This window comes from Homo sapiens, chromosome X, assembly GCF_000001405.40.
Source record: "Homo sapiens chromosome X, GRCh38.p14 Primary Assembly".
NCBI classification, from domain to species: Eukaryota; Metazoa; Chordata; class Mammalia; order Primates; family Hominidae; genus Homo; species Homo sapiens.
The window spans coordinates 115,666,538-115,693,434 of NC_000023.11; the positions used below are offsets into that span (position 1 = coordinate 115,666,538).

At 43.4% G+C, this 26,897-nt stretch overlaps 4 annotated features.

Moving 5' to 3' along the window:
* Positions 13,868–14,419: an enhancer, noted in NCBI's record as "H3K27ac-H3K4me1 hESC enhancer chrX:114914725-114915276 (GRCh37/hg19 assembly coordinates)". NCBI's record gives its function as "activates a minimal SCP1, AML or CMV promoter by ChIP-STARR-seq in naive H9 embryonic stem cells {active_cell/tissue: H9 hESC(naive)}" and the evidence as "EXISTENCE:reporter gene assay evidence [ECO:0000049][PMID:30033119]".
* Positions 18,777–19,765: an enhancer, noted in NCBI's record as "H3K27ac hESC enhancer chrX:114919634-114920622 (GRCh37/hg19 assembly coordinates)". NCBI's record gives its function as "activates a minimal SCP1, AML or CMV promoter by ChIP-STARR-seq in naive H9 embryonic stem cells {active_cell/tissue: H9 hESC(naive)}" and the evidence as "EXISTENCE:reporter gene assay evidence [ECO:0000049][PMID:30033119]".
* Positions 20,865–21,620: an enhancer, noted in NCBI's record as "NANOG-H3K27ac-H3K4me1 hESC enhancer chrX:114921722-114922477 (GRCh37/hg19 assembly coordinates)". NCBI's record gives its function as "activates a minimal SCP1, AML or CMV promoter by ChIP-STARR-seq in naive H9 embryonic stem cells {active_cell/tissue: H9 hESC(naive)}" and the evidence as "EXISTENCE:reporter gene assay evidence [ECO:0000049][PMID:30033119]".
* Positions 23,132–23,886: an enhancer, noted in NCBI's record as "H3K27ac hESC enhancer chrX:114923989-114924743 (GRCh37/hg19 assembly coordinates)". NCBI's record gives its function as "activates a minimal SCP1, AML or CMV promoter by ChIP-STARR-seq in naive H9 embryonic stem cells {active_cell/tissue: H9 hESC(naive)}" and the evidence as "EXISTENCE:reporter gene assay evidence [ECO:0000049][PMID:30033119]".

The window sequence follows — 26,897 nt, forward strand, 5'->3', positions numbered from 1 at the left end:
ATGGGAGGCTGGGGTGAAAGGATTGATGGAACCCAAGAGGTCGAGGCTGCAGTAAAGTATTATCTTGATGCCTGGGTGACAGAGCAAAACCCTGTATCGAAAAAAAAAAAAGAAAGAAAAAAATAAATATGTATATTGAAGAATATACAAAAACCTTTTGTTAGTGATTATAGCTGGTGGGGAGATAACAGGGACCTTTCATTTCAAACTCACATATTTCTGTAATATGGGGAAGATTTTAAAAGAATGTTTATTACTTTTATAACATCATAAGTAGCAAATATGTGTAAAAGTCTATCAAGATAAAGGTAAAGGTAATGGTCCCTAAATTTTTTTTTTTTTTTTTTTTGAGACGGAGTCTTGCTCCATCGCCCAGGCTGGAGTGCAGTGGCACAGTCTCAGCTCACTGCAAGCTCCGCCTCCTGGGTTCACGCCATTCTCCTGCCTCAGCCTCCTGAGTAGCTTGGACTGCAGGCACCCGCCACCGTGCCTGGCTAATTTTTTGTATTTTTAGTAGAGACGGGGTTTCACAGTGTTAGCCAGATGGTCTCGATCTCCTGACCTCGTGATCCGCCCATCTCGGCCTCCCAAAGTGCTGGGATTACAGGCGTGAGCCACCACGCCTGGCAGTCCTAGGTATAAATTAATAGGCCTAGGTATAAATAAGTCCATGGTATGAATTTATGCTATTCTGTAGGCGTATAGACTTCTTTTACAATGTTCACGTGGAAAATTATTAAGGTTCTAGGAGTGTCTTGCCTTTCAACCATGACATAGCTTCTTACTGGAACCGCCCAAGCATGTGCTTTTGTGATCTGACGTCTGCCTTATGATCTAACTTGATCACTTGCTGTTTCCCTGTCTTATTATGGATTCCCACTTCCACAGACCATATAGACTTTTTTTTTTCCAAGATGGAACATAGCTCTGTTGTCCAGGCTGGAGTGCAGTGGCACAATCTCGGCTCACTGCAACCTCCGCCTCCCAGGTTCAAGTGATTCTCCTGCCTCAGCCTCCCGAGTAGCTGGGATTACAGGTGCCTGCCACCACCTCCAGCTAATTTTTTTTGTATTTTTAGTAGAGACAGGGTTTCACTGTGTTGGCCACGCTGGTCTCGAACTCCAGACCTTGTGATCTGCCCACCTAGGCCTCCCAAAGTGCTGGGATTACAAGTGTGAGCCACTGCGCCGGGCAATTTTTTTTTAAAAAAAAGATCATATTTTTATTACCAGGTGATATGTCAAATAAGTCGGGTGCTGAGGATGAAATAGGGTTAGGCGTGGTGTTGGGCATCACCTGGCAGACAGACTACATTTACACAAAAAGGGCCCACAGTCATCTAAGCAAAGTATCTAATCATTCTATGAGAAGCCACTTATAATTTTACTTTCCTTTCTTTTTTTTTTTTTTTTTTTTGGAGATGAAGTCTCGCTCTGTCACCCAGGCTGGAGTACAGTGGCGGATCTCGGCTCCCTGCAACCTGTGCCTCCTAGGTTCAAGCAGTTTTCCTGCCTCGGCCTCCAGAGTAGCTAGGATTACAGGCGTTCACCACCATGCCCGGCTAAATTTTATTTTATTTTTTATTTTTTTATTTTTTTTGTATTTTTAGTATGACAGGAGTTCACCATGTTGGCCAGGCTGGTCTCAAACTCCTGACCTCAAGTGATCCACCCACCTTGGCCTCCCAAAGTGATGGGATTACAGGCCTGAGCTACCACACCCAGCCTATAATTTTACCTTAATAGAAAGTTTTATCTGCTTGTCTTTGTCCATTTGCTGCTGCTGAAATGGGGCAATTTATGAAAAACAAAAAACAAAACAAAACAAAAAAACAGAGATTTATTTCTCATAGTTCTGGAGGATGGGAAGTCCAAGATCAAGGTGCTGACATCTTGTGAGGGCTTTGTGTTGCTTCATTTCATGGAGGAAGGCTGAAAAGGAAGAGAGCATGAGAGAGCAAAAGGGAAGGATGCCAAACTCATTGTTTCATGAGGAACCCAATCCTATGATAATGGCATTGATCCATTCATGAGGGCTCTGCCCTCTTAAATGTCCCACCTCTCAGCACTGTTGCATTGGAGATTAAGTTTCTAACACGTGAACTTTGGGGAACACATTCAAACCATGGCACTGCTTATAAAATGTTTTAGTTTTCTTTTTTATTTTATTTTATTTTATTATTATTATACTTTAAGTTTTAGGGTACATGTGCACAATGTGCAGGTTAGTTACATATGTATACATGTGCCATGCTGGTGTGCTGCACCCATTAACTCATCATTTAGCATTAGGTATATCTCCTAAAGCTATCCCTCCGCCCCCCACCCCACAACAGTCCCCAGAGTGTGATGTTCCCCTTCCTATGTCCATGTGTTCTCATTGTTCAATTCCCACCTATGAGTGAGAATATGCGGTGTTTGGTTTTTTGTTCTTGCGATAGTTTACTGAGAATGATGATTTCCAATTTCATCCATGTCCCTACAAAGGACATGAACTCATCATTTTTTATGGCTGCATAGTATTCCATGGTGTATATGTGCCACATTTTCTTAATCCAGTCTATCATTGTTGGACATTTGGGTTGGTTCCAAGTCTTTGCTATTGTGAATAGTGCCGCAATAAACATACGTGTGCATGTGTCTTTATAGCAGCATGATTTATAATCCTTTGGGTATATACCCAGTAATGGGATGGCTGGGTCAAATGGTATTTCTAGCTCTAGATCCCTGAGGAATCGCCACACTGACTTCCACAAGGGTTGAACTAGTTTACAGTCCCACCAACAGTGTAAAAGTGTTCCTATTTCTCCACATCCTCTCCAGCACCTGTTGTTTCCTGACTTTTTAATGATTGCCATTCTAACTGGTGTGAGATGGTAACTCATTGTGGTTTTGATTTGCATTTCTCTGATGGCCAGTGATGGTGAGCATTTTTTCATGTGTTTTTTGGCTGCATAAATGTCTTCTTTTGAGAAGTGTCTGTTCATGTCCTTTGCCCACTTTTTGATGGGGTTGTTTGTTTTTTTCTTGTAAATTTGTTTGAGTTCATTGTAGATTCTGGATATTAGCCCTTTGTCAGATGAGTAGGTTGCAAAAATTTTCTCCCATTTTGTAGGTTGCCTCTTCACTCTGATGGTAGTTTCTTTTGCTGTGCAGAAGCTCTTTAGTTTAATTAGATCCCATTTGTCAATTTTGGCTTTTGTTGCCATTGCTTTTGGTGTTTTAGACATGAAGTCCTTGCCCATGCCTATGTCCTGAATGGTAATGCCTAGGTTTTCTTCTAGGGTTTTTATGGTTTTAGGTCTAACCTTTAAGTCTTTTATCCATCTTGAATTAATTTTTGTATAAAGTGTAAGGAAGGGATCCAGTTTCAGCTTTCTACATATGGCTAGCCAGTTTTCTCAGCACCATTTATTAAATAGGGAATCCTTTCCCCATTGCTTGCTTTTCTCAGGTTTGTCAAAGATCAGATAGTTGTAGATATGCGGCGTTATTTCTGAAGGCTCTATTCTGTTCCATTGATCTATATCTCTGTTTTGGTACCAGTACCATGCTGTTTTGGTTACTGTAGCCTTGTAGTGTAGTTTGAAGTCAGGTAGCGTGATGCCTCCAGCTTTGTTCTTTTGGCTTAGGAATGACTTGGTGATGAGGGCTCTTTTTTGGTTCCATATGAACTTTAAAGTAGTTTTTTCCAATTCTGTGAAGAAAGTCATTGGTAGCTTGATGGGGATGGCATTGAATCTATCAATTACCTTGGGCAGTATGGCCACTTTCATGATATTGATTCTTCTTACCCATGAGCATGGAATGTTCTTCCATTTGATTGTATCCTCTTTTATTTCCTTGAGCAGTGGTTTGTAGTTCTCCTTGAAGAGGTCCTTCATGTCCCTTGTAAGTTGGATTCCTAGGTATTTTATTCTCTTTGAAGCAGTTGTGAATGGGAGTTCACTCATGATTTGGCTCTCTGTTTGTTATTGGTGTATAACAATGCTTGTGATTTTTGTACATTGATTTTGTATCCTGAGACTTTGCTGAAGTTGCTTATCAGCTTAAGGAGATTTTGGGCTGAGACAATGGGGTTTTCTAGATATACAATCATGTCATCTGCAAACAGGGACAATTTGACTTCCTCTTTTCCTAATTGAATACCCTTTATTTCCTTCTCCTGCCTAATTGCCCTGGCCAGAACTTCCAACACTATGTTGAATAAGAGTGGTGACAGAGGGCATCCCTGTCTTGTGCCAGTTTTCAAAAGGAATGCTTCCAGTTTTTGCCCATTCAGTATGATATTGGCTGTGGGTTTGTCATAGATAGCTCTTAATATTTTGAGATACGTCCCATCAATACCTAATTTATTGAGAGTTTTTAGCATGAAGGGTTGTTGAATTTTGTCAAAGGCCTTTTCTGCATCCATTGAGATAATCATGTGGTTTTTGTCTTTGGTTCTGTTTATATGCTGGATTACATTTATTGACTTGAGTATATTGAACCAGCCTTGCATCCCAGGGATGAAGCCCACTTGATCATGGTGGATAAGCTTTTTGATGTGCTGCTGGATTCGGTTTGCCAGTATTTTATTGAGGATTTTTGCATCAATGTTCATCAAGGATATTGGTCTAAAATTCTCTTTTTTGGTAAAATGTTTTAGTTTTCAAATAAAAATCTAGAGACTACGGCCAGGGGTGGTGGCTCATGCCTGTAATACTAGCATTTTGGGAGGCCGAGGTGGGTGGATCATGAGGTCAGGAGTTCGAGATCAGCCTGATCAACATGGTGAAACCCCGTCTCTAGTAAAAATACAAAAATTAGCCAGGCGTGGTGGTGTGCACCTGTAATCCCAGCTACTCAGGAGGCTGAGGCAGGAGAATCGCTTGAACCTGGGAGGCAGAGGTTCCAGTGAGCCAAGAGCACACCACTAGGCTGGGCGTGTTGGCTCACCCCTGTAATCCCAGCACTTTGGGAGGCCGAGGTGGGTGGATCACCTGAGGTCAGGAGTTTGAGACCAGCCTCAACATGGATAAACCCTGTCTCCACTAAAAATACAAAATTAGCTGGGTGTGGTGGTGCATGCCTGTAATCCCAGCTACTCGGGAGGCTGAGGCAGGAGGATTGCTTGCACCTGGGAGGCGGAGGTTGCGGCGAGCCGAGATCGCGCCATTGCACTCCAGCCTGGGCAACAAGAGAGAAACTCCGTCTCAAAAAAAAAAAAAAAAAAAATCACACCACTGCACTCCAGCCTGGGTGACAGAGTGAGACTCTCTCTCAAAAAAAAAAAAAAAAAAAAAAAAAAAAAAAAAAAAAGAAAAGAAAAGAAAAGAAAAAATCTAGAGACTAAACTTCTCTGATGATGAGTTCTTTGATGTTGCTAACTTTACTGAGTCACAATGTATTCAACACAATTGTGAGGCAGAGGAGAAAATTTAGGATACCAGGTGGTCCCTCATGCTCAAGTTCAGCCTGCTATGGAAGCCTTCAATTAAATTTCTAACAGTCTTTCCAGACTTGAAAATACTCATTCATGCATGATATTTAACACTTTTTAAATAATGATTTGAGGTTGTATAGATGTTACAACTTTGGAAGATAACTCAGTTCAGTAAGAGTGGAAAAAAGTCTTTGCTTTTGACATTATAAAAGTAGAAAAAAAGAGAGCAGCAGATCTCCCAGCATGGTGCTCGAGCTCTGCTAATGGACAGACAGCCTCCTCAAGTGGCTCCTTGACGCCCATGCCTCCTGACTAGGAGACACCTCCCAGCAGGGGTTGACAGACATCTCATACAGGAGAGCTCCGGCTGGCATCTGGCAGGTGCCCCTCTGGGGTGAAACTTCCAGAGGAAGGAACAGGCAGCAATTGTCTGCATGGAGGAGCACGTTCTGCAACCTCTGCTGGTGATACCCAGCAAAACAGGGTCTGGAGTGGACCTCCAGCAAACTCCAGGAGACCTGCAGCAGAGGGGCCTGACTGTTAGAAGGAAAACTAACAAACAGAAAGGAATACCATCAACATCAACAAAAAGGACATCCACACAAAAACCCCATCCGAAGGTCACCAACATCAAAGGCCAAAGGTAGATAAATCCATGAAGATGAGAAAAAACCAGTGCAAAAAGGCTGAAAATGCCAAAACCCAGAATGCCTCTACTCCTCCAAAGGATCACAACTCTATGCCAGCAAGGGGGCAAAACTGGACGGAGAATGAGTTTGATGAATTGACAGAGGTAGGCTTCAGGAGGTGGGTAATAACAAACTCCTCCAAGCTAAAGGAGCACGTCCTAACCCAATGCAAGGAAACTAAGAACCTTGAAAAAAGGTTAGATGAATTGATAACTAGAATAATTAGTTTAGAGAAGAACATAAGTTACCTGACGGAACTGAAAAACACAGCACGAGAACTTTGTGAAGCATACAGAAGTATCGATAGCTGAATCATCAAGTAGAAGAAAGGATATCAGAGATTGAAGATCAACTTAATGAAATAAAGCATGAAGACAAGATTAGAGAAAAAAGAATGAAAAGGAAAGAACAAAGCCTCCAAGAAGTATGGGACCATGGAAAAGATCAAACCTACGTTTGACTGGTGTACCTGAAAGTGACTGGGAGAATGGAAGCAAGTTCGAAAACACTCTTTAGGATATTATCCAGGAGAACTTCCCCAACCTACCAACACAGGCCAAAATTCAAATTCAGGAAATACAGAGAACACCACAAAGATACTCCTTGAGAAGAGCAACCCCAAGACACATAATTGTCAGATTCACCAAGGTTGAAATGAAGGAAAAAATGTTAACGGCAGCCAGAGAGAAAGGTCGGGTTACCCACAAAGGGAAGCCCATCAGACTAACAGCAGATCTCTTGGCAGAAAACCTACAAGCCAGAAGAGAGTGGGGGCCAATATTCAACATTCTTTTTTTTGTGTGTGTGAGACAGAGTTTCGCTCTTGATGCCCAGGCTGGAAAGAAATGGCGCAATTTTGGCTCACCACAACCTCCACCTCCTGGGTTCAAGTGATTCTCCAGCCTCAGCCTCCCGAGTAGCTGGGATTACAGGCATGTGCCACCACGCCCAGCCAATTTTGTATTTTTACTGGAGACAGGGTTTCTCCATGTTGGCCAGGCTGGTCTCAAACTCCCAACCTCAGATGATACACCTGCCTCAGCCTCCCAAAGTGCTGGGATTACAGGCGTGAGCCACCGTGCCAGGCTAATATTCAACATTCTTAAAGAAAACAATTTTCAACCTAGAATTTCATATCCAGCCAAACTAAGCTTCATAAGTGAAGGAGAAATAAAATCCTTTACAGACAAGCAAACGCTGAGAGATTTTGTCACCACCAGGCCTGCCTTACAAGAGCTTCTGAAGGAAGCACTAAACATGAAAAGGAACAACCAGTACCAGCCACTGCAAAAACATACCAAATTGTAAAGACCATTGACACTATGAAGAAACTGCATCAACTAACAGTCAAAATAACCAGCTAGCATCATAATGACAGGATGAAATTCACACATAACAATATTAACCTTAAATGTAAATGAGCTAAATGCTCCAATTAAAAGACACAGACTGACAAATTGGATAAAGAGTCAAGACCCATCGGTGTGCTGTATTCAGGAGACCCATCTCACATGCAAAGACACACATAGGCTCAAAATAAAGGGATGGAGGAATATTTACCAAGGAAATGGAAAGCAAAAAAAGCAAAGGTTGCAATCCTAGTCTCTGATAAAACAGACTTTAAACCAACAAAGATCAAAAAAGACAAAGAAGGGCATTACATAATGGTAAAGGGATCAATTCAACAAGAAGAGCTAACTATCCTAAATATGTATGCACCCAATACAGGAGCACCCAGATTCATAAAGCAAGTTCTTAGAGACCTACAAAGAGACTTAGACTGCAACACAATAATAGTGGGAGACTTTAACACCCCACTGTCAATATTAGACAGATCAATGAGACAGAAAATTATAGTCCTGAGCCACTGCACCTGGCCTCTCATGGGTTTCAAGAGCAGAGGAGACTGCACTCTTACTGATGGATCCAGTGAACAAAAGGTTGGAAACACTCTTCATTTTGATTATTTAGACTGTGGATCCAGCCATCAGTCCCATAAATTTCTTTGGCACAGAGAGGGGAGATGGCTGTGACCATATCCATTGCCTCCCAGGTATGAGACACAGGTACTGGAAACTATTGATTCTAGTTAAAATGCCCCAATATACCTTAGGAAAGGTTAGAAAGGTGAGCCTGGTCTTAGTAAAAGAGGTTATTGGACTAGGAGCCGACAATGGTAATTTTTACATCAGGTGATAGAGACTATGAAATGCAAGATGGCATCTAATGATGAACAGAAACAATAATGTCCTGGAAAAGGGGAAATTCAGTGAATTACCACATCCAAAGTGCAAGAAACCAATAACAATGTAAAATGAAACAGTACTAGAGCAAAATGATATAAGCCATTCGTAAATTGATTGGGTAAAAATGATATATTATGATTGCCTGGAACTGTGGATTCTGTTGGCTAAATTATAACCATAGAACGAATTTTTTTTTTTGAGATGTAGTCTCACTCTGTCACCAGGCTGGAGTGCAGTGGCGTGATCTTGGCTCACCACAACCTCCGACTCCCGGGTTCAAGCGGGAGGAGGCTCCCTGCCTCAGCCTCCTGAGTAGCTGGGACTACAGGTGCATGCCACCACACCTGGCTAATTTTTTTTTTTTTGTATATTAGTAGAGATGGGGTTTCACCATGTTGACCAGGATGGTCTTGATCTACTGAACTTGTGATCTACCCGCCTCGGCCTCCCAAAGTGCTGGGATTACAGGCGCGAGCCACCACGCCAAGCCATGGAACCAATTTTTCAAGTGAAATTTTACTTAGAGGTCTGTTACGGACTAAATATTTGTATCCCCTCAAAATTTATAAGTTAAAAGCCGAAACACCTCCCTGCCATATGATGGTATTAGGAGGTAGGACCTTGGCAGGTAATTCGGTTTAGATGAGAACATGAGGGTGGAGCCCCCATCCTGGGATTAATGCCCTTAAAAGGATAAGACATGAGGTCTCTCTCTCTCTCTCTGTGTCTCTCTTTCTCCCTCTCTGCTCTTTCTACATCAACTATGTGAGAATTCAGCAAGAAGATGACCTTCTGCAAACCAAGAGGGGGCTCTCACTAGGACCCAAATTGGTTAGTACTTTTTGTTGTTGTAGATATGGGGTCTCTCGATGTTGTCCTGGCTAGTCTCAAATTCCTGGCCTCAAGTGATCTTCCTGCCTCACCTCCCAAAGTTTTGGGATTACAGGCATGAGACACCATGCCCAGCCTGGCTAGCACTTTGTTCTTGAATTTTTCCAGCCTCCGGAACTGTGAGAAATAAAATTCTGTTATTTAAGCTACCCAGTCTACGGTACGTTATTATAGCAGCCTGAGCTAAGACATGGTCTCATATAGAAAAGCCAAATTCAGGTCAGGCATGGTGGCTCACGCCTGTAATCCCAGCACTTTGGGAGGCTGAGGCAGGTGGATCACCTGAGGTCAGGAGTTCGAGACCAGCCTGACCAACATGGCGAAACTCCGTCTCCACTAAAAATACAAAAAAAATTAGCCGGGCATGGTGGCACGACTATAATCCCAGCTACTCAGGAGGCTCAGGCCTTCTGAATCGCATGAACCCAGGGGGCAGAGGTTGCAGTGAGCTGAGTTCGTGCCACTGCACTCCAGCCTGGGTGATAGAGCAAGAGTCTGTCTCAAAAAAAAAAAAAAAAAAAAAGAAAGAAAGAAAAAGAAAAAAAAGAAAGAAAAGAAAAGCCAAATTCTAATCTTTGGATAGGTTTGAGAAAAGTGCCTAGGAGGTGCAGAAGAGAAGACCCTAAAGGCATATTTTCAGCTATGTGACAGAAGTGGTTTGAAGGCTTACAATACCCTGGATGGACAATACCCAACTCTCTGGCCTTCAATGTATATTTGGACTTCCCAGAACCACCATGGCATGAGTGGCTGTTAGTAGTGCCTGGAACTACATGCCACAGTAACAGGGAATCAAATAGTGTCTGGTGTATACCTCAGGAGTCTCTTGGGCATTTAGTCCAGAAAGCCTTATAACCTCTAGGAATTCTTACATAAACTAAATAGTTTCCAAACAAAAATAAAGAAGCAGCTTGGGTACGGTGGCTTACACCTGTAATTCCAGCACTTTGGGAGGCTGAGGCGGTGGATCACTTGAGGTCAGGAGTTCAAGACCAGCCTGGCCAACATGATGAAACCTTGTCTCTAATAAAAATATGAAAGTTAGCCAGGTGTGGTGGTGCAAGCCGGTGGTCCCAGCTACTCAGGAGGCTGAGGAGGGATAATCGCTTGAACCTGGGAGGCGGAGGTTGCAGTGAGCCTAGATCATGCCACTGCACTCCAGCCTGGGTGACAGAGCAAGATTCTGTCTGAAAAAAATAAAAAATAAAAAAATAAAGGAGAAGACCCTGAAAAAGGTTCATAATTGCATGTTGTAATGATTTTGTTGTTTTAGTTTTTAAAGGGAAAGAAAATGGCTTCTCACTACTAGTTTTCTTGTATTTTATGTGTAGTGGTGGCCTTGATTTGATGTTGTCCTAGTAAGCAGCTGGCCAGAATTTCCATCTTCTCTCCATTGCTTTCAGTATTCCTGTGCTCCTGAGGTGGATTTGGTCTCTATATTCCTCTTCATTATGGCTGCAGTGGATGGAATCAGAGAAGAAACTGCTGAGGAAATACTTCCCTGGCATTCGATGTGAAGGATGAGAGTTCTGTATAGAAGAGTGTCATTATTGCCGTGGCCAACTGAATAAGGAAGGAGGTTTTGGTTTAAATGTGTGTGTATGTCTGTGGATACACACACATAGTACAAAAAGGCCAAGAAGAAGATAAACCAACATATTGCTAGTGGTTACCTCCAGGTGATAGGTTTAGAGATCATTTTTCATAATATATTTTATTATATTATTAATATATGGGCCAGGCACAGTGGTTCATACATGTAATCCCAGCAATTTAGGAGGCTGATGTGGGGGGATCGCTTGAGCCCAAGAGTTCAAGACCAGCCTGGGCAACAAAGCAAGACCTCATCTCTACAAAAAATGTAAAAATTAGCTGAGTGTGGTGCTACACACCTATGGTCCCAGCTACTCAAGAGACTGAAGCAGGAGGATTGCTTGATCCTAGGAGTTTGAAGCTGCAGTGAGCCGTGATTGTGCCACTGCACTCCAGCCTGGGAAACAAAGTTAGACTCTGTCTCAAAAACAAGAACAGGCCAGGCGCGGTGGCTCATGCCTGTAATCCCAGCACTTTGGGAGGCCGAGACGGGCAGATCACGAGGTCAGGAGATCGAGACCATCCTGGCTAACACGGTGAAAGCCCGTCTCTACTAAAAATACAAAAAAATTAGCAGGGTGTGGTAGCAGGCACCTGTGGTCCCAGCTACTCGGGAGGCTGAGGCAGGAGAATGGCGCGAACCAGGGAGGCGGAGCTTGCAGTGAGCTGAGATTGCGCCGCTGCACTCCAGCCTGGGCGACAGAGCAAGACTCTGTCTCAAAAAAAAAAAAAAAAAAAAAGAACAAATACATATATATTTGCATATATATGCATCATGTTCATAATAAGATAAAAGCAATCATTGCTTATTTAATGGAAATAGGTCCTCTGCTCTTTATATACCTATATATATCTTCCTGGGAACACTGCATGGAAAGGTACACAAAAAGGACCAATGAGGTGGAAATGACAACCCCTTACTGGGAAACAAATAGCATTTGTACAAAATTTTTATAATAAACCATTAAACACCAGGTATAGAGGCTTGCAGTGACTCATGAGGAATTTATCAGATTTCGTTCGTTTTGCAAAATGTCCCTAAGTGAAGAACTTTAAACTTCAGTCTTCTTCCTCTCTTGTCACTTTTTATTCAACATTCTTCATGTAGACTGGGCATGGTGGCTCACACATGTGATCCCAGGGCTTTGGCAGGCTGAGGTGGGAGGATTACTTGAGTGCAGGAATTCAAGACCAACCTGGGCAACACAATGAGACCCGATCTCTAAAAAAAAATTCTTTTAATTAGTCAGACATGGTGGTGCACAACTGTAGTCCCAGCTACTTGGGAGGCTGAGGAGAGAGGATCACTTGAGCCTAGGAGTTCAAGGCTTCACTGACCTGTGATCATGCCACTGCAGTCCAGCCTGAGTGACAGAGCAAGACCCTGTCTAAAAAAAAACAAAAGAAGGTACTTCATGTGGATGAAGTTTTCAAAGTCATATTTTCTGTCATGTCTTCTGTTAAAACATGTTTTATTAACAGTTAATTAATTAAATAATATTGAGTACTTTCCTGTCCCAGGCTTTTTGTCTAAGGCCTGAATAAGATGAATGAGATATGTTCTTTTCTTTGAGTTCTAGAGTAGTGTAGGACTCTAGAGGGACACAAACACCATGAAATAAAGTGTTTTGATGGAAGTTTATAGCAGGTAGGAGCACAAAGTCAGAAAGGGTACACTTTGACAGTGGTGGAATGAGCGTGGGATGGGTAGGTGATGGTGAGCAAGGTCCTCGATGTGAAAGTGATGCTTTAGCTTTAGTTTTATTACAAGTTTGACTGGAAGTTAATAGGGCCCAGAGAGGTTAAAACAAAATTCTGCAGATTTGTTCTTGTCCGGATTTCACCCGGGTTTGCTCTCTGGCTTAAAATCCTATTTCAACAGCATGATATGTTTGTGCTCACTTTGGCAGCACATATTCACCCCACCCCGCCTCCCAAAAAATACAAACGAACCATGATATGTTCATTAGATTTCACAAAAGGGGCTCCTTGTAAGTCTTGACAGCTTATACTTAAAATGCATGTAACATATCACCAATAAAACAGCATCACCAATTTTTTCTATCACAGTGATGGGAAAGAAAAAAATAATCCCGGACATGTAGGAGTTGGCGTGGCACTCACAGCTAGACTTTGTTGTTCTCCCGTGAGCATAAACAATTTCAAAGAGTACCAACATCCGGCAAGGTCCCTCTGTGATGGTAATGAAGTGAGACAAAAAGGAGGACCACTGCATAATCATGTCTGAACACAGACAAAACACGTTCAAGCCACAGAAATTAACAAATATCCCCCTCTCCTGGCTAATGTGAGTGATTGCTACTGCTTTTTGCTTTTATTACGAGGTGGGGGGCGAATTACAGCTTTAGCCTTAGTATAATCTAGCATGGTTTTATATCATTGACTGTAAATATTTCTTGTTTTTAGATATTTATGACTTACACCTTTTCTCCTTTAACAGTTATTCTTGATTTTGCCTTTCCTGAATTCACGATCTAAATTCAAAATTATAAAACTATTAAGATGTCTTTTTTTTTTTTTTTTTTTTTTTTTTGAGACGGAGTCTCGCTCTGTCACCCAGGCTGGAGTGCAGTGGCGCAGTCTCGGCTCACTGCAAGCTCCGCCTCCCGGGTTCACGCCATTCTCCTGCCTCAGCCTCTCCGAGTAGCTGGGACTACAGGCGCCCGCCACCACGCCCGGCTAATTTTTTTTTTATTTTTTTTAGTAGAGACGGGGTTTCACCGTGGTCTCGATCTCCTGACCTCGTGATCCACCCGCCTCGGCCTCCCAAAGTGCTGGGATTACAAGCGTGAGCCACCGCGCCCGGCCAGATGTCTTTTATACCTAAACCATATTTTGGGTTCCTAAAATGTTCATCAGGTAATAATAATAGGCTGAATGTTTATGTCTCCCCAAAATTCATATGTCGAACTCTGAACCGCCAACATGATGGTATTAGGAGGTGGAGCCACTGGGAGGCAGTTAAGCCATGACGGTGGAGACCTCACGAATGGGATTAGTACGCTTATCAAAGGGACTCCCAGAGAGCTCTCTCTCCCTCTTTCTGCCATGTGACACAAGAAGTCAGCGATATGCAGGCGGGCCGGGCGCGGTGGCTCATGCCTGCAATCCCAGCACTTTGGGAGGCCGAGGCGGGCGGATCACAAGGTCAGGAGATCGAGACCATGGTGAAACCCCGTCTCTACTAAAAATACAAAAAAATTAGCTGGGCGCAGTGGCGGGTGCCTGTAGTCCCAGCTACTGGGGAGGCTGAGGCAGGAGAATGGCGTGAACCCGGAAGGCGGAGCTTGCAGTGAGCCGAGATTGTGCCACTGCACTCCAGCCTGGGCGACAGAGTGAAACTCCGTCTCAAAAAACAAAAAGAAGTCAGCAATATGCAACCTGGAAGAGAGCCCTAACAATAACCAACCATACCTGCTCGTTGCAGTGGCTCATGCATGTACTCCCAGCACTTTGGGAAGTCGAGGCAGGAGGATCCCTTGAGCCCAGGAGTTGGATACCAGTCCTGGCAACATAGGGAGACCCTGTCTCTACAAAAAAAAAAAAAAAAAAAATTTAGCCGGACGTGGCGGCACACACTTGTAGTCCCAGCTACTTGAGAGTCTGAGGTGGGAGGCTTGGTTGGGCCTGGGAGGTGGAGGCTGCAGTGAGCCATGATCTTGACACTGCACTCCAGCCTGAGCAACAAAGAAAGACCCTGTCTTCCAACCAAGCTGGTACCCTGATCTCGGACTTTCAGCCTCTAGCACTGTGAGAAATAAATTTCTGTTGTTTATAAGCCACCACTCTATGATACTTTGTTATAGCAGCTCTAAGTAACACAAAGATTTGTTCCTCAATCCTATAAAAGATAATAAGAGTAAATTTATCCAACTATTAAGTAAAAGCTGTTATGAGAGCTTTTCTCTGCTAAACTTAGTAATAATGGTGGTGGTAATAATGATAATAATAAACTTTACAAATCTAAAGAGTTTAACTTAAGTTAATCATACATAAAGAAAATATGGCCAGGCGCAGTGGCTCAGGCCTGTAATCCCAGCACTTTGGGAGGCTGAGGTGGGCGGATCACTTGACTCAGGAGTTTGAGATCAGCCTGGGCAACATGGCAAAACCCCATCTCTACCAAAAATGCAAAAAAATTAGCCGGGCAAGGTGGCATGCACCTGTAGTCCCAGCTACTTGGGAGGCTGAGACATGAGAATCACTTGAGCCTGGAAGGCAGAGGTTGAAGTGAGCTGAGATCGCGCCACTGCACTCCAGCCTGGGCAACAGAGCCAGACCCCATCTCAAGAAAAAAAAAAAGAAAGAAAAGAAAAGAAAATATGATAATTAAATATTCCTTCCTTTACCAGAAAAAGTAAAACTCCATGGTGGCTTACCTCTTTTAGGAGATTATCTGAGTATCTGAGCCCTGGACAGATCTTCTAGATCAGGGGTGTCCAATCTTTTGGATTCCCTGGGCCACATTGGAAGAAGAATTGTCATGGGCCACACATAAAATACACTAACACTAATGATAGCTGATGAGCTTAAAAAAAAAAGCAAAAAAAAAACAAAATCTCATAATGTTTTAAGAAAGCTTACGAATTTGTGTTGGGCCACATTCAAAGCCATTCCAGGCCTCATGCAGCCCACAGGCCACGGGTTGGAGAAGCTTGATCCAGAGACTTTCTTAAATAACCCTGATTTAATTGTATTCATTAATGGTTCAAACATAAAAAGTAAAACTAAAAATTGCTAAACAAGATAACCCATCACAGACTTAAGTTTGTCCTTAAAATATAAGCTTCTCATAGAAACTAAATCAGTTCACATTTTGTATTATAAACATTTTACATTTTCTGCGTATTATGATGTTTTGATATTTTTAAAAACCTTTCTGACTAGGGGGAGACTGCCCCTCCTGGGGCTAGCCAAGATTTAAAAATAACAAAGGCCCAGCCAGGAGCATCTTTAATATGCAAACTAACCAATCCAGAGCCGTACCTCCTCTGTTTGGCCCAGATACCCCAGGAGGCCACATTCCTCTTCTTTTTTTTTTTTTTTTTTTGAGATAGAGTTTTTGCTCTTGTTGCCCAGTCTGGAGTGCAATGGCGTGATCTCGGCTCATCGCAACCTCTACCTCCCAGGTTCAAGCAATTCTCCTGCCTCAGCCTCCCGAGTAGCTGGGATTACAGGCATGCGCCACCACGCCTGGCTAATTTTGTATTTTTAGTAGAGACGGAGTTTCTCGATGTTAGTCAGGCTGGTCTCGAACTCCCGACCTCAGGTGATCTGCCCGCCTCCGCCTCCCAAAGTGCTGGGATTACAGGAGTGAGCCACCGTGCCCGGCCCACGTTCCTCTTCCTAATCATCTACTGTTACCGGAAAAAGGGTCTTGTTCCAGATCCCAAAGAGCGGGTTCTTGGATCTCATGCAAGAAAAAATTCAGGGCAAGTCGCAGAGTATAGTGAAGTTAAGATAGTTCACTATACTCTGATTAGAGACTACTTTATTGCAGAGTAGGGTGTCCTCAGAAAGCAAGGAGGAACAAAATCACCTCAAATACAATGCTTGCTTAGATAGGATAATAGAGCTAAGAATAACGGTCTTACGTGCTTTATTACAAAGGCTTGTGATCAGCTTGTGACAGGATAGTAGCATTGTTATTCTCTTTTATAACTATTGATTTCAGCAAGAATTTATGGGTATACTATTATCTTTAACGTGACATTGGCCTGGCGTGGTAGCTCACTCCAGTAATCCCAGCACTTTGGGAGGCCGAGGCAGGTGGATCACTTGAGGTCAGGAGTTCGAGACCAGCCTGGCTGACATGGTAAAACTCCGTCTCTACTAAAAATGCAAAAATTAGCTGGGCATGGTGGTAGGTGCCAGCAATCCCAGCTAATTGGAAAGCTGAGGCAGGAGAACTGCTTGAACCTGGGAGGCATAAGTTGCAGTGAGCCGAGATCACGCCATTTCACTTCAGCTTGGGCAACATAGCAAGACGCCGTCAAAAACATAGATGAATAAATAAAAATTTTTAAAAAGTGAAATGTATTCTTAAACTAAGAGTGCATTTTGTTCTTAAGATATTGGGACATCAGGACATTTCCTTAAGTTGTGGATCTTATGTAATTAGCCTCCTTAACTTGTCCCCTCAACCATAAACATCTTGTGACCAAGAGTTCCCAACCCCCTGGGAATGTAACCCAGCAGTTTTGGCTTTATTTGGCCTTTATTCAAGATGCAGTCACTCGGGTTAGGACACTTCTTTTTTTTTTTTTTTTTTTTTTTTTTTGAGACGGAGTCTCGCTCTGTCGCCCAGGCGGGACTGCGGACTGCAGTGGCGCAATCTCGGCTCACTGCAAGCTCCGCTTCCCGGGTTCACGCCATTCTCCTGCCTCAGCCTCCCGAGTAGCTGGGACTACAGGCGCCCGCCACCGCGCCCGGCTAATTTTTTTTTTTTGTATTTTTAGTAGAGACGGGGTTTCACCTTGTTAGCCAGGATGGTCTCGATCTCCTGACCTCATGATCCACCCGCCTCGGCCTCCCAAAGTGCTGGGATTACAGGCGTGAGCCACCGCGCCCGGCCAGGACACTTCTGACACTAGGGCCAGGTACCAAGCAACTAGAAACCATCCTTATGTAGCCCAAAGCCCAAGGCAGTTATTCAAACTAGCCAGTCATAAACTGTTCACCCTGCCCTGCATTGCCTATTGTATGGAAGTCCCAGTAAAGGTCATGGCCTAAATCCTCCCCTTGCTCGTGTCTTCTGCCTTCAGACCACCCTGATGTCTTTCCCATGTGGCCCTGCATGATGTACCTGGCCTCCTGTCTGTACAACCTGTGAGTAAATAAACTGTTTTATTTCTGAGCCTCTCTGACATCTCCTCCAGTGACCATACCTGAGGGATCATCTCATAAAAGAATTACAAGCCAGATGTGGTGGCAAGCATCTGTGGTCCCAGCTACTTGGGAGGCTAAGGCGAGAGGATCACATGAGCCTAGGAGTTTGAGGCTGCAGTGAGCCATGATTTTGCCACTTCACTCCAGTCTGGGTGACAAAGCTAGACCTTGTCTCTGAAAAACAACAACTAATAATTTGCAAAACAGATGGCTAAATTGATTGCCTTGGCCCAGACTTATCAACTGACAAAATGTAAAAGAAGATTTTTATATTTATAGTAAACTTGTGATTTTAAGATAGTTCATAACATCACAACGGTTTAGAAACAGAGATTTTCTGACCTCTCCAAGAACCCTCATGTCTGAAATGGTGAATTTGAAAACTTGGAGATGTTTTGCCATTATCCAAGAAGGTAATCATAATAAAAACATTTCAGCCAAAATGCTTCATAATTTCTCTCTCAGTAGCAGAGATAGATTGGCCACAATACTGAACCAACAATGGTGGGGCAATTTTGAGAGATATTGTCCAAGATATTTTCAAGGAAGTGTCCTACCTGCAGTTGTGCAATCTTGCAAGACTATTAGGGTAGGAAATGGGCAGGAAGTACAGCCTTGAGGCCCATTTTAAACCTCTCCAAATGGGTTGTGAGTGTGTTCTGGTTATCATGGTCTATTCTTATGGTTGGTTGAGTCCTCATCTTGCTATAGAACTGAATATAGTGATTTTTTTAATTGCTTGCTTTTATGCTCCTGATGTGGGAAATCTCGAGGTATCTCCCTAGTAACAGGGACACACATCTTGTTGGTATCATTATTTTTAAATCCCTTAACATATTACATTTTACTCCCTTAACATATTACATTTTACTCAAAAACTCCTCTATCCTTGCCATGCTCAAATTCATAAAAAAAATAAAGACAATTAATAGAATTCTCAAATTATAATTATCAAAGCTTTCAAAAATCCTTGGACTTCCCAGGCCCAGAGAACTGTCATTAGCCCTGATGACAATGAGATCAAAGCTCTCAAAGATCCACAGGTTATCAACTTCTAAGTTAATAAAAGCCTGCTTCATGCATTTGGGAATTTCACTTCCAATCCCAGATACTACTGATTTACAGTCTAATATGGCTGAATATTCCAAGAGACTCATATAATACCTCCAGCATTATGACCGACAAAGTGCATTTTCAAAGTATGTACCTAAACATCCTCTGCATGATCCGCAACCTGGAGATCTGGTCTTCTGAAATAGGCAACAGAAATACAACTTCCCTGAACCTTGGTTAAAAAAAAAATGTCTTCTTGTGCTGGGCACGGTGGCTCACGCCTGTAATCCTAGCACTTTCAGAGGCCAAGGCAGGTGGATCACCTGAGGTCAGAAGTTCGAGACCAGCCTGGCCAATGTGGTGAAACCGTGTCTCTACTAAAAATATAAAAATTAGCTAGGCGTGCCTGTAATCCCAGCGACTTGGGTGGCTGAGGCAGGAGAATCACTTGAACCTGGGGGACGGAGGTTGCAGTGAGCCGAGATTGTGCCACTGCACTCCAGCCTGGGTGAAAGGGCGAAACTCCGTCAAAAAAAAAAAAAAAAAAGTCTTTTCAGTACTGTTAACAAGTTGATGTATCAGTAAAACTCCAAGGTGTTGATACTTAGTGTTTTGTGTGTGTGTGTGTGTGTGTTTTGTTTTTTCTTTTTGACAGAGTTTCACTCTTGTTGCCCAGGCTGGAGTGCCATGGCGCGATCTCCACTCACCGCAACCTCTGCCTCCTGGGTTCAAGCGATTCTCCTGCCTCAGCCTCCCCAGTAGCTGGGATTACAGGCATGAGCCACCACACCCGGCCATCGATACTTAGATTTTTAAGAGTATACAAAATATTTAACTTAAAAGATATACATCACCTCTTCCTACACTAATGGACATCCATTTTATCTGAAGACCTTAAACTGAGGATTCTTAGGAATCCTGACACTGACTACAGAAGTGGACAGCTTTTGCGCCAGACAAAACTAGCTGCTGACTTCAGAAGTTCCACCTAAGACAGCGGAACAGGATTAATTTTCTAATTCTTCAACGTTCTTTTCTGTCCTTTGTTCTTCTACTATGATTACCTATTACTACACTAGGACACCCTCTAGAACACTAATATAACCCACACTTATCTTCATCCTATTATTTTGAATCCCTATGGTTGTCTTCTATCACCTCATGTTTTTCACAGGCCCTAGATACTGCTTTGAATTAAACCGATTGCTGGATCTAACATCTTCCACCAGATCCTGCTGCTAATAATCTACTAGCAATTCCTTTAAACACTTAAGAAGGCACTGCTGGGCATGGTGGCTCATGGCTGTAATCCCAACACTTTGGTAGGCCGAGGCGGGTGGATCATGAGGTCAGGAGATCGAGACCAGCCTGGCTAACACGGTGAAATGCTGTCTCTACTAAAAATACACAAAATTAGCCAGGCGTGGTGCCACATGCTTATAATCCCAACTGCTCGGGAGGCTGAGGCAGGAGAATCGCTTGAACCCGGGAAGCGGACGTTGTGGTGAGCCGAGATTGTGCCATTGCACTCCAGCCTGGGCAACAAGAGCAAAACTCTGTCTCAAAAAAAAAAAAAAAAAAAAAGAAAGGCAGATTCCATTTTATAGGCCCTTCTGTCATTTAACCTTCCCTCATATCGTTAATCCTGCAGCCTTGTATAAAATGGACTCTGACCTCAGATTATTAGAATGCCTCTGCTAAGGTTATTATAATACTATCAGCGAGACCTAGCCAATCAGAAGTAGACAATATTAGTTAGGCCCTCCTGACCACCATAGTCAGTTTATTCTCCAGAAACATGTCATTCTGCTTTGCTGAGCTGTTTAACCCAACTCAAAAATCTGTCTGCCTCAAAGGACACGAAACTGGCTTACTCCTATTGTCATACATAATATTTATACAACAGTCTAGCTCCTAATTAGGGTACTACACTTTATACGGATATTGGGCTTACAGTGGTCTGCTACATCCTAATTTATCTTGTGTATTTAGTATAATTGTGAGACACTTTCAGATCTTTAAAAGTATCATCCCCCTAGTGGATCATGTTTCCCTGGAAAAATTCTACCCAGAAACCTCCAAGACACAGAACACAAAAGCTTATTTACAATTAAACAAACAAACTCCCAAAAGACATAACTGACTCCCTTTTCGTGGATACTATGTAAGTTGCAATTCCCTCATTAAAGAATACCACTGGCAAACATGGTCCAAAACTTGCCTCATACCCTAACAAAAGTCATAACAAACGCTTCACTCTGAAAGACAAACTAGTTTAAACTCATTAGCCCAGATTGTTATGGGAAATCACATAGTCGTTGATTACCTCCTAAGCAGCCAAGGGGGAATTTATGCTATACTAAACACTACTGGCTGCATCTATATACTACAAAACAAATAGACTCATGAGTAAGCAAAAAACAAAAATGCAGATTTAACTCCCTGCCTTCTCCATTGATAAGAGTCTCCAGTAATTTAGAGTCACCATTCTTATTCTGGTGCACAGTGGGAGAAACCCTTACAAATGGAGATTTTTTATATGTATGTATTTTTTATATGTATGTAAATTTCTCCTACCAAAGGGTAACTTCTGTATTCTAAGGTTTTCGGCTAAAAAAGGTGTCGGGGGCGGGGGTAACTTCTACTCTTGCTTTCAGAGTTTCTCCTTTGTCTCTTGTTTCTCAAAATAATTATTATGCCCAACAGGCATAATATGGGGTGGCATAATCTGGTAGTCTACACTCTTATTTGGGGGAGAGGTGTTATGTCTTGAACTCCATCAGTTTTTTTGTTTGTTTTGGTTTGGCTTTTTTTGAGACGGAGTGTTGCTCTGTCCCCAGGCTGGAGTGCAGCGGCCCGATCTCGGCTCACTGCAACCTCCATCTCTCAGGTTCAAGTGATTCTCATGCCTCAGCCTCCAGAGTAGCTGGGATTACAGGCATGCACCACCACACCCTACTAATTTTTGTATTTTTAGTAGAGACAGGGTTTCACCATGTTAACCAGACTGGTCTCGAACTCCTGACCTCAAGTGATCCACCCGCCTGGGCCTCCCAAAGTACTGGGATTACAGGTGTGAGCCACTGCGCCCGGCCCTATTTTTATTTTTGAGACTGGGTCTCACTCTGTTGCCCAGGCCAGAATACAATAGTGCGATCATAGCTCATTGCAGCCTCAGCCACCCAGGATCAAGCGATCCTTCCACCTCAGCTTCCTGAAAAGCTGGGACTATCGGTGCATACCACCATGCCTGGGTAATTTTTTTTATTTTTTAGAGACAGGAGGGGTCTCACTGTGCTGCCCAGGGTGGTCTCAAACTCCTGTACTCAAGCAATCCTCCTGCCTTGGCCTCCCAAAGTGCTAGGACTACAGGCCTGAGCTGTCACCCCTAATCCCCTATCGGTTTTAAATGATATTCTGTGACCATTAACAAATCAGAGGATTCAACAATTTACCCCGCAACAAAAGGAGCAGGAGAAACTATCAATACTCCAAATTTAGATTACATTCTCTGCAAATAGTTTCTAAAGCAAAGTCTTGGCTATGGTGAAAATCTGGATATCAAGGATGAAGTTTCTGCAGGCTAACTGCATCTGCCCTTGGCCAAAAGGAAAACAGAGCAAGGCATCAGCCTTAGTGTTGCTGTCCCTGCATTCACACCTGGGCCATGGTGATCTGCTGTTGAACACGAGAAATCTCACAGAACAGCAACATCAGACAAGGCCACTCTGTGACAATGATCAATCAAGGCAAAAACAAGACCAAACTGTAATGTTTTAACAAAAACTAAATTAAACATAAACATTGTCTCAGCTACAGGAATGACCAATATTCCCCTAGACTGGCCAATATGAGTGACTACTGCTTTTTTTTTTCTTTCAGAGACAGTCTCACTCTGCTCCCCAGGCTGGAGTACAATGGCATGATAATAGCTCACTGCAGCCTCAATTCTCAATTTCCCAGGCTCAAGAAATCCTTCTGCCTCAGCCTCTGGAGTAGCTGGGACTGAAGGTGTGCGCCAGCACATCTGACTATTTTATTTTTATTTTTATTTATGTATTTTTTTGAGATGGAGTCTTGCTCTGTTGCCCAGGCTGGAGTGCAATGGTTTGATCTCAGCTCACTGCAACCTCCGCCTCCCAGGTTCAAGCGAGTCTCCTGCCTCAGCCTCCCGAGTAGCTGGGATTACAGGTGTGTGCCACCATGCCCAGCTAGTTTTTGTATTTTTAATAGAGACGGGGTTTCACCATGTTGGCCAGACTGGTGTCGAACTCCTGACCTCAGGTGATCTGCCTGCCTCGGCCTCCCAAAGTGTTGGGATTACAGGTGTGAGCCACCACGCCCAGCTTTATTTTTAGTTTTTGTAGAGACAGGATCTTGCTATGTTGCTCAGGCTGGTCTCGAACTCCTGGCCTCAAGCAATCCTCCAGCCTTGGCCTCCCAAAGTGCTGGGATTACAAGAGTGAGCCACCATGCCCAGCTGCTTTTGTTTTTTTAAACAAATTACAGCGTTAGCCTCACTCTGTATTCTTGCCTCATCCTAGATAAACTTACTAGGATTCCCAATAATAGAATTACCCTCACTCCCTCATAGCATCCAATTCAGAGCATAGCACTAATTCCTTATATCCTCTCTAAAACCACCTAATACAAACTCAAATCTTAAAATAAATCCTTTCTAACACCCTTTTCTGGAGGTGCTCCATGGTTCCTTCAGTGAACAACAAATCCCGCTTGTTTCACTGCCGAGATGTTCCTGGTATTTGACTCTGGAAACAACTGACTTCATCTCCAGATTGTTCGCGTGGAGAGCAATGAGAAAATACACTGGAATTTTCACCCCTACTTACATGCCCAAAACTAGTCTCCTCCTCTCTACTTTGTCTTTTCTGACTTTGTCTTCTCAAAAGAGGAAAATAATTTTGCAGTATACCCACTTCACTCCTGGAAGGAGTTCAAAGTACTTAGCATGAAATTAATTATTGTAAAGGTTTAACTGTGAGTAATTGCCCTAAATGAAGTTTGGATTACTTCTTCTGTTTGAAATGACCTGTGTTCGGGAAGCTTGCTGAGGATTCCTAGAGACTTCCTTTGAAAAACATTTTCCTGTAAAAATGGAGTCTCTGTATTTTCCCTGTATTTCCATAAAAAGTCTCAGATTTCTTTCCTGATTAGAGTGGTTTTCCTTAGAAGACTTAAGTGTGGAGAGAAGGTATAATAAGGACAGATATCACTATGGAAACAAGTTAGATAATCATAATTGTATTTGCTAACATCATTATCAAAATAAGAACAAATTTGAAAAGATTCATACATGAAGAGGATCTTTCACCAAACTTGGTACATTCCTTTTGCTTTGTCTGGCTGGCTGTTGTTTTTGCTTTGTTTGGCTGGCTGGTGTTAACTACTTGGGGGTTTTCTGAGTCAGCGTCATGTTATACTCATGGTGAAGAGGTCCTGCCATCTAGTGGCCAAATTGCAAAGTGCTACTAGCTTATTTAAAATTGAACCCAGTGTTCAAGGAGCGCAGCAGGTACACCGCACTCCTTGGGCTTCCATGAAATACGAACAAAGCCTCAGCTATTTCAAGATGCAAGGAATCCTTTAAACTTTTGGGAAACAGTCTGTCTTTTGTGGGAAAACAAAGTCTTCATTTGGGAAGGACTGATTTGACCTTGAAGCTGAGGTCACTTTGACCCTATCTATATATGTTTGTGAGTCTCTGTTCTGAAACCAGGAGGGGATATATTTAGGCAGCAGGATTCTGGGAGCACAACAGGTGAGAATGTGGATTTTAGGAACAGTCCTTGCCAGCCTGGGTTTCCACTACACCCTGCAAAGGTGCAGCTGAATTTGGAGTGGTTAGGGTTTGTGTTCCAGAGGGCCAGAGATAATTGTGGAGTTCCAGGGGATGCAGGGCCCAGAGAGGTGAGCTTGATGACTGAGCTTAGGGCTAGGAAGATCAAAATGTGTCAGCAGGCCAGGAGCTGGGGCCATGAGGGAAACTAATCCTCAGGGCTCTGAACAGGAGCTAAATTGGAGAGAACAGGAGCAAATTATAAACCAGGTCAGGATGGTCCTGGCCTCTAGCTGAGAAAAGAATTGGAGTATACTGAGCTTGCCTTTACTGACCTTGAAACTGGACAGGTGGCCGGGTGTGGTGGCTCACACCTGTAATCCTAGCACTTTGGGAGGCTGAGGTGGGTGGATCACTTGAGGTCAGGAGTTCGAGACCAGCCTGGCCAACGTGGTGAAACCTTGTCCCTACTAAAAATACAAAAATTAGCCAGGTGTGGTGGTGGCACCTGTAATCCCAGCTACTCGGGAGGCTGAGGCATGAGAATTGCTTGAACCTGGGAGGCAGAGGTTGCAGTGAGCCGAGATCACGCCACTGCACTCCAGACTGGGTGACAGAGCAAGACTCCATCTCAAAAAAAAAAAAAAAAAAAGAAAGAAACGAAGAGAAAAGAAAAGAAAAAAAGAAACTGGACAGGCACAGAGAAGGGGAGTTGGAGGTTGAGCTAGGGCAGGGAATCTAGAAGCATTAAATACTGAGGTTTGCAGGAAGTTGGCTTCTATGTCCTATGGCTTCAGTGTCCCTTCCAAAGCTCATGTTGAATTTTTTTTTTTTTGAGGCAGAGTCTTGTTCTTGTTGCTTAGGTTGGAGTGCAATGGCAAGTCCTTGGCTTACTTTAACCTCCGCCTCCCAAGTTCAAGCGATTCTCCTGCCTCAACCTTCCGAGTAGCTGGGATTACAGGTGCCCATCACCACACCCAGCTAATATTTTGTATTTTTAGTAGAGATGCGGGTTTCACAATGTTGGCCAGGCTGGTCTCGAACTCCTGACCTCAGGTGATTCACCTGCCTCGGCCTCCCAAAGTGCTGGGATTACAGGCGTGAGCCACCGTGGCCGGCCAATTTTTTTCTTTTTTTCTTTTTTTTTTTTTGAGACAGAGTCTTGCTCTGTCACCCAGGCTGAGTGGAGTGGCCTGATCGTGGCTCACTGCAACCTCCACCTCTTGGGTTCAAATGACTCTCCTGCCTCAGCCTCCCTAGTAGCTGAGATTACAGGCATGCACCACCACGCCCAGCTAAGTTTTGTATTTTTAGTACAGATGGGTTTTTGCCATGTTGCCCAGGCTGGACTCAAACTCCTGGCCTTTAGTGATCCACCTGCCTTGGCCTCCCAAAGTGCTGGAATTACAGGCGTGAGCCACTGCACTTGGCCCATGTTGAAATTTAATTGCCATTGTGATGGTATTAAGAGGTGAGACCTGCTGGGTGTGGTGACTCATGCCTGTAATCCCAGTACTTTGGGAGGCCAAGGCAGGTGGATCATTTGAGGTCAGGAGTTCGAGACCAGCCTGGCCAACATGGTGAAACCCTGTCTCTACTAAAAATACAAAAATTAGCCAGGCGTGGTAGTATATGCCTGTAATCCCAGCTACTTGGGTGGCTGAGGCAGGAGAATCGCTTGAGCCCAGAAGGCAGAGGTTTCAGTGAGCCCAGATTGCGCCACTGCACTCCAGCCTGGGTGAGAGTGAGACTCCATCTTAAAAAAAAAAAAAAGAGGTGAGACCTTTAAGAGGTAATTAGGCTCTGCTTTCAAGAATGGATGCGGTGCCAAACCCCTATAAACCTCAGTAGGGAAGCCACCAGGTTCAAGAGGCCAAAGAAGTGACCCAGAGCCAGCAAATGAGACTTGGGATTTTATTAGGGGCTTACATAAAAGGGAGAGAGTCCAATGGCAGTGAGCTGGACAGGAGAATTGCAACTGCTTGCAAAGACCATGCAGTTTGTAAAACGAAGTATCTGAGACAGGTCTCAATCAATTCAGAAGTTTATTTTGCCAAGGCTAAGGACAATGTCCTGGGAGAAAGAACAATGGAATCACAGAAACAATCTGTGGTCTGTGCCTTTCTCCGAAGAGAATTTTAATGTCTTCATTATTTAAAGGGGGAAAAGCAGGCCTGGCATGGTGGTCACACCTGTAATCCCAGCACTTTGGGAGGCTGAGGCGGGTGGATCATTTGAGGTCAGGAGTTCAAGACCAGCCTGGCCAACATGGTGAAACCCCATCTCTACTAAAAA